This window comes from Homo sapiens, chromosome 6 (assembly GCF_000001405.40).
Source record: "Homo sapiens chromosome 6, GRCh38.p14 Primary Assembly".
Lineage (NCBI taxonomy): Eukaryota > Metazoa > Chordata > Mammalia > Primates > Hominidae > Homo > Homo sapiens.
Window position 1 is genome coordinate 93197977 of NC_000006.12, and position 11990 is coordinate 93209966.

General features: G+C 34.9%; 1 annotated feature.

The window, feature by feature from the left end:
* Window positions 590–1090: an enhancer, noted in NCBI's record as "H3K27ac hESC enhancer chr6:93908284-93908784 (GRCh37/hg19 assembly coordinates)". NCBI's record gives its function as "activates a minimal SCP1, AML or CMV promoter by ChIP-STARR-seq in naive H9 embryonic stem cells {active_cell/tissue: H9 hESC(naive)}" and the evidence as "EXISTENCE:reporter gene assay evidence [ECO:0000049][PMID:30033119]".

Consider the following 11990-nt stretch of genomic DNA (forward strand, 5'->3'; position numbering starts at 1 on the left):
GATTTTTTTTATACAAAAGCTGAAATAATTCATCACAAATAGAACTGCAGTCCAAGAAAAGTAAAGTCAGGCAAAAGAAAAATAACACCAGATGGAAATATCTTTCTTCAAAAGTAATAAAGACCACCTGAAATTGTAACTATGAGAGAAAATATATAAGATTTGTTGTTTTAAATATCTTTAAAAGATAGCTCTTTAAACAAATATATTAATTGCCGAGACCAGCTTGGTCAGGGAGACCCTAACCCAGCAGTGCTAGAGGAATTAAAGACACACACAGAGAAATATAGAGGTGTGAAGTGGGAAATCAGGAGTCTCACAACCTTTGGAGCTGAGAGCCCCAAACAGATATTTACCCACGTATTTATTAACAGCAAGCCAGTCATTAGCATTGTTTCTATAGATATTAGATTAACTAAAAGTATCCCTTATGGGAAATGAAGGGTTGGGCGGAATTAAAGATATACGTTGGGCTAGTTAACTGCAGCAGGAACATGCCCTTAAGGCATAAATCGCTAATGCTATTGTTTGTGGCTTAAGAATGCCTTTAAGCGGTTTTCCGCCCTGTGCGGGCCAGGTGTTCCTTGCCCTCATTCCCGTAAAACCACAACCTTACAGCTTGGGCGTTATGGCCATTATGAACATGTCACAGTGCTGCAGAGATTTTATTTGTGGCCAGTCTTGGGGCCAGTTTACGGCCAGATTTTGGGGGGCTTGCTCCCAACATGTCTCCCTTCTTTGATTTGCAAAGAGGTAAAAGCAAGGGCAGCTTTGTCACGGTGAGCTACTTCTCACAGGAGTCGGATCTGCATCTGCAGACTATACAAAGACAAACAACATAGATTATAAGCACAGTCATCATTGAAATCACAGGGCTTCCAAGTGTTTTTATCCATTTTAATGGGTTACTGGCTGCTAATTTGTCTGCAGCTCCTTTAAGCACTCCAGTTCCTGGCATTAAGGTCAGGTGTGCCTGGGATGCTTTAAATATTTGTTCTTTTAATTTTGCTGTATCCAAAAACAAGTTTGTAGTGTGTCCTTCTAGATGCTTTTTTATTCTTTCCCACATTTTGAGCATTTGATTGTTTCCACAAATCCTTGTTTAGCTCCTAGAACAGGCCATATCATTCGAGGTTGAGGGGCCACTATACCGCCATGGTTCCAGTTAATAGGAACTTTTGCCGTACTTCTTATCATTTCTACCATCTGACTGTTTTGTTCAGATCATCTGAACATAGTGTGGCCATGGCACGCAGAGAGGTGCAATTTAAGCTAAACATCCCCTTAGGGGACCAATTAATAATGTTCCCATAGGAATAGTTGTGCAGCACCTCTGCCTGTTCTGCAATGCAATCTTCCTAAAAAAGTACGTTCATTTTTTCTAACTGGGTCCAATCCTGTTTACAAATAGGTTTTTGAGGGCGGTATGCCTCAATTATAGGAGCAGATTTATTATGGTAAATACTGAGATCAGAAAGCATGTGTAACTGTGTCCTAGAGTGATTGCATCCAGGCATTATTACCAGCCTTTATTGAAGGAATACTCACGGCAGTGGAGATAACCGCTATCATAGCTACCATTAAATTACTCATTTTGACTGGTTGTCCCGCTTTCCTCAGGTTTTCTTCCACCATCTGTGACAGCTTCTTGATCTGTCCCCAGGTGGGTGGCTGTGTTTGACGGGTGTTGCTCGTGACAGTTGGGGTCCTCCTCAGTGTCAGCCTCGACATGGCTGCAACTGGGGAGTCCTCGGGATCCTCACGGAGTCTCTTCCTCAGCATCTGGCTCATAATAAGGTTTCAGGTGTCTTGATGATATCCAAATTGGCTGTTGATTTTTGCCTGGAGAAATACAAGCATAACCTCTAACCCAAGTTATTATTTTACATGTTTCCCAACTTTTTGTTATTGGATCTTTTCATCAAATGATGCTAGATTCAATTGTGTATGGGCTGTCCTGTAATCCCTATTATTAATAATAACATAATGTGGGGATTATAATGTATTTAAAAGTGAAATATGATAATAGCACCAAGACTGGGAGGGGGGTAATAAAGTATACTAATGTTAAGTTTTTTATAATAAATGTGAAATAGAAGTCGACAAGCTGATTAAAAAATTCATATGGAAATGCAAATGACCTTGAATATCCAAAACACATTTGTAAAGAACGAACAAAGTAGGAGTACTAACACTATCTAAGACAGTTATCAAGACAATGTATTGTCTCAACATAGAGATAGACAAATAGATCAATACAACTGAATGAATATTCAAGATACTGACTCATGTAGATGGACAATTGAGCTTTGACAAAGGTTCAAAGAAACTGAGTGGAGAAGATGGTCTTTTCAAAAAATGGTATTGAAGTAACTATATATCTATATTAAACAATTGAGACATAACTTCTACCATATAAAAAGTTAACTCACAATGTATTACCAACCTAAATGTAAAGCCCAAACTATAAAACATCTAGAAGAACACATAAGATAAAATCTTTGTGACCTTGAATTAAGCAACAATTTCTTAGCTATAACATCAGAAATAATAATACATAAAAGAAAAGCTTATAAATTGAACTTCATCAAAATTTAAAACTGCTCTTCAAAAGACACTGTTAAGAGAATGATAAGACTGGGGAAAATATTTGCAAAATATACAGCTGATAAAGGACTTTTATCTAGAATATATAAAGAACTTTTAAAACTCAACAAGAATAGTCCCCAATAAACAGGTACAAAGTTACAGTCAGGAAGAATAAGTTCTGGCGTTCTATTTCACAGCACAGTGACTATAGCAAATACATTATATTTGTTAACAATGTGGTGTATATTTCAAGATAGCTAGAAGAGAAAATTTTCAATGTTATCACCACAAAGAAATGATAAAATTTATAGGTAATGGATGGAGAAATTACTCTGATTTTATTGTTACACATTGTATACATGTATTGAACATCCCTTTGTACCCCATAAATATGTACAATTATGTATCAATTATAAATAAAAATCATATTTATTTATAAAAATAAAATTAACATTGCTTGAAGGTTTTAAAAGTTTGTAATAGTTTCTTTAAAAACAGCTGTATTAAATAATACTTACATATAATAAATAGCACCTATTTAAAGTAAAAATTTGATGAGTTTGATATGTGACATATATCCACAAAACCATCACCACAATAAAAATAATAAACATCACTTTTATTTTTTATTTATAAAAATAAAAATTATTTTTTATTTACAATGAAAACTGTTTTTAAAAAGAATAGTCTCAATATATTAAATAGGCCAAGGTTTTGAACAAACGCTTCTTCAAAAAAGATGTATGGATGGCAAATATGCATACAATAGACACTCAACCTCATTAGTCACCGGGGAAAACCAGAATAAGCTACTACTACTACACACATATTACAATGTCTAAAATTTGAAAGTCTGATGATGTAAGTGTTGATGAGAATGTGAAGGGCCTAGAACTAACACACTGCTGTTGGGAATGTGAAATGGTACAAGCACTCTGAAAGACAATTTGATACTTTCTTGAAAAGTTAAACATACTCTGACCATATGACCCATCTATTGCACTCTTGATATTTACCCAAAGGAAAGGAAGGCTTACATTCATACAAATAATTGTATTCAATTATACATAGTGCTTTATTTGTAATAGCAAAAACCTGGACAACTCAAATATCCTTAAACAAGAAAATGAATAAAAAATAGTGTTATATCCATCAATGAAATATTACATAATAATAAACAGAAATGAATTATTGATATATTCAATACTATGGATGAAAATCAAAATAGTTATGCTGAGTGATAGAAGCCAGACAAAAAGAAGTGCATCCTATATGCTTCCATTTTTATCAAATGCTAGAAAATGTGAATTTATCTACAGTGACAACAGATAAGTGATTGCCTGAGGATGGGAGGTTGCATGGGATTTTGAAGGGATTACAAAGATACATGAAAAAACTTTTTGGAGTGAAGCGATGTTCATTATTTTTATTGTGGTGATGGTTTTTTGGATATATGTCACATGTCAAAATTCATCAGATTTTTACTTTAAATAGGTGCTATTTATTATATGTAAATATTCTTTAATACAGCTGTTGATAAAGAAATTATTAAAAACTTTTAAAACCTTCAAGCAATGTTAAAAGAAGTTGGAGGAGGAGGAAAAGAAGAGGAAGAGGAAGAGAAAGGAGGCCTAGAAAAATAATAGTCCTAACTCAGTAAGGCCAATAATAGAATTTCTAACACTATGACTTCCAAATCCCAGGTGTCCTCCATTTATGCTAAACATACACTCTCTGATCTCATATTCCCATATTGGTAGTGGGTCCCACAAGCTCCTGAATCCTGTGTGAGGTTTCACTCTCAAGAATTACCATAGCCTGGTGTTTCACCAGACCATGGTAAAATTAGGCTTGCTTTTAGATGGTATGCACATCAGTCTAGCATAGCTATATATAAAATAGTCTTCCTTTTTCCTATGAATGGATGCCACGGTGGAAAAAAATTCCAATCAGTACATCTTACACATGCTGATTTCCTTTCGATAATATTAAACAATGCAGTTTTCAGAAGAAAATGGCCCAAAATAGTATTAGGTTATAGGAGTATCTAGTATAAAATAAATAAAACAGTTCATGCTATTTTGACATTGGAACAGCTATGAATAAATCCTGATCAACAGGATTAAAAGACAAAAGCTTAAAACAGATTTTCTTTCATTCTTTGGTTGCTATAAAATGTTATCAAAATATTATCATTCAAACAGAGGGAAGTGTTAACTTATTTGTGGCCATTTCATAGTAACATCCTCTTTAAACCAAAATTGGATTTTGTTTCTATGGTAAGTTTATGCCATTGTATAAAGAAAATTCTTAAAGTTAGAAGTTGAGAAAAATTAAAAATCATGATGAAGTTACAATAATATATGTAGATATATGCTGAATACTATGCATTTCACAGATTACTTGGCAATCTTCTGATTGTTAAAGTTTTGTCAGAAGTAAATGCAGATGGCTAAATTGTATAAAAAAACTTTTGGATCTCTCTTTTCATACAGAAACTTGTAAATATTGTTTTACATCTTAGGATCACACATTTTAGGTCAAGAACAAACTTGAACTCATCTCCTTTAATCTGATAATTCTTGTGCTCTTCTAATATTTTATTACATTTTAGAGAAATTACAGAGGAGTAAGTTTTTGATGGAGCATTAAGCCTGCATTTAGAATCTAAATTTTTTCTTAAAAATAAGGTTCTCAGTATAATAAAGTGTCTCTTTTTATTAGAAGCTAATTTTATGTTAATTGGAATAAGATATCATCAACCTTTTGGTAAGGCATTGAATAGCTTTGATGGGTGGTAGAATTCAGTTATGAGGTACTGTGGAGTGACGGTTTTGGCCAGAACATCAAAGAGAGAGTGGCAGACTGTACTTTTCAAAGATGCTCATGACTCTATCTCCTAAGTTAACTACCCTTGTGCAATGACACCTTAGCATTCTCACATAAAAAAAAAAAGGTGTCTATTTCTCCAGTTCACTGTCTACCAGAATGATGGACTCTATGACTTATTTGACTGATAGAATGCAGCAGATAATGCTGAGCCAGTTCTGAACATGGACCTCGGAGCTTCTGCTTCTTTCCTTTTGGAAGCTATGTGCCATGTAATAAGTGGTACTACCTGAGAACACCACGCTGTAAACAGCCCAAGACATGCGGCAAGGCCTTGGAGGATGAGAAACCACAAGGGAAAGGATGAGGAAAATTGAGACACCAGACATATGAGTGAAGAGCTCATCTTGGAAGTTCATCTTCTGGCCTAGATGCTCTGAATGACTACATATAAATCAGCGACAAATCTCCCAGTCAAATTATTCCCAAGTTCCTGACCTTCAAAGCTGTGAGCAAAGTAAACTGGGTGTTACAAGCCACTAATATTTCAAGTAATTTTTTTCCCAGAAATACATAACTAAAACAGAATTTATGTCTCAAAATGAGGTCCCGCTGCAACAAAAAATTGAAACAAATTAGCATTGCTTTGAGACTGGAAGCCAGGCAGAAGATACAAGAGCCTTGAGAAGACTATTTGTGAAGAATGAAGGACGTCATTATCAGAACTGTAGAAGAGGTGCCCTCTTGTTATATAATGGAAGGAAGTTGGGCAACAGTTATCTACCTATGAGAACATAGAAAATAGAATATGCCAACCTATTATTTTTGCTAAGGAGATTTCTAGGCAGAATGATGAAAGTAACAACTTTTTTTTTTTTTTTAAAGCAGCAAATGATAAAAGAGAGAGAAAGAAGTTTAAACTGGAATTATAGAAGGCCCAGGATTGTCTTTCTAGCCAGTGAAAATTTCTCGAAGCAAGAAATGGCCTCATGGTAAAGACAAAGTCAAGGGTGCAACTCTACAATCCTTTATTGGAGCTTAGAAAAATTTAAGAATATGTTCAAAGACCCTCTAAGAAATAAACAATGAAACATCCATGAATCTTGCAGATATAATTTCCCAATTTTTAAAATTTTTTTCTGAGTAGTCCTGAATGACCACATTTTTAACTTTTATGGATACATTATAGTTGTACATATTTATGCAGTACCTGTGATATTTTGATACAAGTATACAATGTTCAATGATCAAATCAGGGTAATTGGGATATTCATCACCTTAAACATTTATTATTTCTTTGTGTTACAATCTAACACAATCTAAGAACACTCTAAGCCCACTTTTCTAGTTCTTTTAAAATATACAAAAATATTTATTTATATATATAAATTATTGTTAACTATAGTTGCCCTATTTTGCCACCAAACACTAGATCTTATTTCTTCTAACTGTATTTGTGTACCAATTAACCAACCCTTCTTTATTTCCCCCTCCCCACCACCCTTCCCAGTCTCTAGTAACCATCATTACACTCTCCATCTCCATGAGATCAATTTTTTAGCTTTCACATATGTGTGAGAACATATGACATTTGCTTTCTGTACCTGGCTTACTTCATTTGACATAATGTTCTCCAGTTTCATTATGTTGTTGCAAATGACAAGATTTCATTCTTACTTATGACTGAATAATATTCCATTGTGTATATGTACCACTTTTTAAATTTGTTCATCTATTGATGTTCATATAGGTTGATTCCAGATTTTTGCTATTGTGAATAGTGCTGCAATAAACACAGGAATGTAGGTATCCCTTTAATATATCGATTCCTTTTCCTTTGGATATATATCCAGTAATAGATTACTAGATCATATGGTAGTTCTATTTTTAGTTTGGTTTTTTTTTTGAGAAATCTTCATACTGTTTTCCATAGTGGCAGTATTAATTTGTATTCCCACCAACAGTGTATAACAGTTAGCATTTCTCTGCATCCTCACCAGCATCTATTACTTTTCTGTCTTTTTAATAACAGTCACATTCTAACTGGGATAAGATGATATCTCATTGTGGTTTTGATTTGCATTTCCCTCATGATTAGTGATGTCAAGCATTTTTTCATATACGTGATGGCAATTTATATATCTTCTTTTGAGAAATATCTATTCAGATCTTTTGCTCATTTCCTAACTGGATAATTTGTTTTTTCTGCTGTTGAGTTGTTTGAGTTCCTTGTGTGCCCTGGTTGTTAATCCCTTGTCAATTGAATAATTTGAAAATAATTTATTTCATTCTGTAGATTGCCTCTGCATTTTGTTAATTGTACCCTTTGCTGTGCAGATGATTTTAGCTTGATATAATCCCATTTGTCCATTTTTGCTTTGGCCTCTACCTTTGAGGTCTTACTCAAGGATTCTTTTCTCTGACCACTAATGTCCTGGAGAAATTTTCCAATGTTTACATCTAGTTGTTTCATACTTGCAGGTCTTACATTTAAATCTTTACTCCATTTTGATTTGATTTTGGTGTATAAATAAATTTCTAGACACATATAGCCTATTAAGATTGAACCACGAAGACACATAAAACTTGACTAGATCAATAATAAGAAACAAGATAGCAGTAGTGAAAAGTCTTCCATCAAAGAAAAGCCCAGGATCTAATGGCTTAACTGCTGAATTCTGCCAAACATTTAAGGGAGAAGTAATACCAGTGATACTCAAACTATTCCAAAAAAATTAAGAAGGGAACACTATTAAACTCATTCTGTATGGCCAGTATTACACTGATACCAAAACCAGACAAAGACACAATAGAAAAAGAAAACTGCAGGCCAATCTCTCTGATGAATATAGATGCAAAAAACCTCAACAAAATATTAGCAAACCATATTCAACAACACATTCAAAGATCATTCACTATGACCAAGTGGAATTCATCCTGTGGATGCAAGGATGGTTCAATATATGTAAATCAATAAATGTGATACATCACATCAGCAGAATAAAGGACAAAAACCATATGATTATTTCAGTAGTTAAAAAAAGAATTTGACAAAATTCAACATTCCTTCATGATAAAAATTCTCAACAAACTGTATATAAAAGGAACATACCTTAACACAGTAATGGAATGGCCATATATAACAAACCCATGGATAGTATCATACTAAACAGGGAAAAACTGAAAGCCTTCCTTCTAAGATCTGGAACAAGACAAATATACCCACTTTTACCATTTCTATTCAACATATTACTAGAAGTCCTAGCCAGAACAATTAGACAAAAGAAAGAAATACAATGCATCCAAATTGGAAAAAAAGAAAACAATTTATTTTTGCTTGCAGGTTATATGATCTTATATTTATAGAAACCTAAGATGCCACCAAAAAACTATTAACAGATAAAGTCAGTAAAACTGCAGGATACAAAATCCACATACAAAAAAATTAGTAGTATTTCTGTATGCCGATAGTGAACAATCTGAAAAAGAAACCAAGAATGTAATCCCATTTACAATAGCTAATAATAAAACAAAACTCTTTGGTTAAGGAATAAACTTATCCAAAGAAGTGAAAAACCTCTACAATGAAAACTGTAAGACATTGATGAAAGAAATCGAAGAGAACTCACAAAAAAGGAAAGATATTTTGTTTGTGGATTAGAAGAATCAATATTATTAAAATGTCCCTACTATCCAAAGCTATCTACAGATTCAATGAAATCCCTATCAAAATATCAATGACATTATTCACAGAAATAGAAAAAAGCCCCTAAAATTTGTATGGAACCACAAACGACCCAGAATAGACAAATAAATCCTGAGCAAAAAGAACAAAGCTGGAGGCATCACATTACCTGACTTCAAATTATGCTACAAAGCTGTAGTAACAAAAACAGCATGGTAGCTAGGTGTGGTGGCATGTGCCTATAGTCCTAGATACTTGAGAGGCTGAAGCAGGAGCTCAGGAGGTTGCAACCAGCCTGAGCAATATAGTGAGACCCATCTAGAAATAAATAAATAAACCCAGCATGATACTGGCATAAAAACTGACACTGACCAATGGAGAAAAATAGAGAAGCCAGAAATAATTCCACACATTTATGGTCAACTCATTTTTGGCAAAGTCACCAAGAACACATCAGGGAAAGGACAGTATCTTCCTTCAATAAATAGCGCTGGGTAAACTGGATATTCAAATGCAGACAAAGGACATGCTTTTTAGAACACTCTGCTAGACAAAAGGACTTTTAAAAATTCTAAGAGTGTTGTCCTGTAGCACCTTGACTGTCAGGGTAAAGAGGAACTTGTATCTAAGAGATCAGCAGATCCCACTCATGTTTATTAGAGTGAACACTAATGTGATTGATCAGAAACATAAAGTTTGCAAGGAAATTTTACTCGCTATCTTGGATTGAAAAAGAAACAGTTGATGTTCTCACTTACAAGTGGGAGCTAAATGATGAGAACACATAGACACAGAGAGGGGAACATCACACACCCGGGCCTTTCAGAGGGTGGAAGGTAGGAGGAGGGACAGGATCAGGAAAAATAACTAATGGGTACCAGGCTTAATACCTGGGTGATGAAATAGTCTGTACAACAAACCCCCATGACACAAGTATACCTATGTAACAAACCTGTACTTGTTTCTCTTTACTAAAAATAAAAGTTAAAGAGACAATTCAAGTAGGAAAAAAAAGTCTATAATAGGAAGTAGGCTGAGAAAGTCACAAACACAGACCATAAGTCCAGAGAGCAGAAACTAAAACAGCATATCACTCCCATGGAACAGAATCAGGGCCTGATTAAAAACAAACAAACAAACAAAAAAAGACATAATATGCCTAGCTAGAATTCAGAAATGCTTTAGACTAGTGACGGCTACGTTATTCCCATTCCATACTCTCCAACTTTTTTCACTGAAGAGTTTATTGCATTTGTCCTATTCTTGCAGCCACATTGTGTGGTGGGTGTGAGGAAACCAGCTAACTTGTCTCCTTAGTTCACAGCTTTCGCTGAAAGTAACTACACTTGAGAAACCTTTATCATACCAGGACCTGATTTAGATGATGAGCTCCTGGACTTTGAGCTAATATTGTACTGGAATGAGAACATGTGTGTCTTGAAATGGAGATGAGCGTATTTTGTATATGGGAGAGATATGAATTGTAATAGCCACAGGCCAACTGGTAGATAGTCTTGGTCCCTATACACATGCTGAGTCTCATATCAAGAGGTGGAGCCTAATGCCCTTCCCTGTGAATAGGGACTTTCCCGGTAACTTACTTGACTAACAAAGTATAGTGAAAATGACTTTTGGGACCTTGGAGGCTACATCATAAGAAGTTTTTTAGTTATTTTGAGCCTCTTAGAATGCTTGCTCTGGGGACATATTGCCATGTTGTCTAAAGCCCAAAGACATATGCAAAGTTTACATGTATGTGTTTCACTCAACAGTCCTAAAAAAGCTCTCAGCCAGCAGCCTGCCCACACTGCCAGCCTTATGAATGAGCCATCTTAGATATTCAACTCAGTTGAGCCTTCATATGACTCTAGCCTCAACCATCATCTGTCTGCAACATGACGGACTCTGAATAAGAACTGCTAAGTCAATCCATGAACCATGAGACAGAAAAATGAGTTGTTCTTTTAGGCCACTAAAGTTTAGGGTTGTTTGTGACACAACAGTGGGTAACCTATACAAAGTTTTGTATTTTCTCAGAAGAAAGGAATTATTGCTTCAGAGATGTGGCAGCTGAAACACGCTTACATCTCAGATTATCACTCTACATTCCTCCACTTCCTTTGCTAAATATTATTGACTAAGGAGCCAAATTCTTTGCAGTATGGAAGATAATACTCTCTCCAATAGAAAAAAAAAAGATAAATTGTGAATTATTCACATGACTTGTGGTCTGGGTTGTGCAAATGTTTGCATATTAAAAAAATAACAATGGTAATATATTTTAAGGTCATCTCTTTGATTTTTATTTTAAAGTGAAATATGTATGGAAAACACAGGGGAAAATATTTGCAGTATAAGTTGTTGGAAAGGCAAATATTTTAATGCATACATTTTAAAGGAAACACCTTCCATGATCTCCTTTTGAAATATGATAGATAAAACGTTTTAGCATCTGTCCCACTGGGTGTTTCCAGCATACGAAAACCCTCCCAAGATGACTGTAGTTCTTTAGGAGTGAATCCAAAACAGCCTGAGGTAAAACATTTACTTTTTGTTTTTGGGATTCTTAGCAATTAACTTGCTCCTAAAACTCTTGCTATCTTGGCACTGCTCACATACACCTTCTATTCCGTTATCTTTCCCTGTATTCGTTGCTATGCCCAACACTACTCTTCCTGCAGGCCACTGAACAGTGAGGAACCTGCTTTTTTGTATTCCTCACAGAAACTGGCCTAGTGATATGCTCAAAATAGCTGCTCAGATGGCTGCTGAACGACAACATATCTTCAAAGTACAGAGAATGGAAAGCCACGCTGCATTTCATTTGTACCTTGGGTGAGGGTACTTTAGTTGTGCTATACCTGTCAGTCTCTGTTCCCAGAGAAGC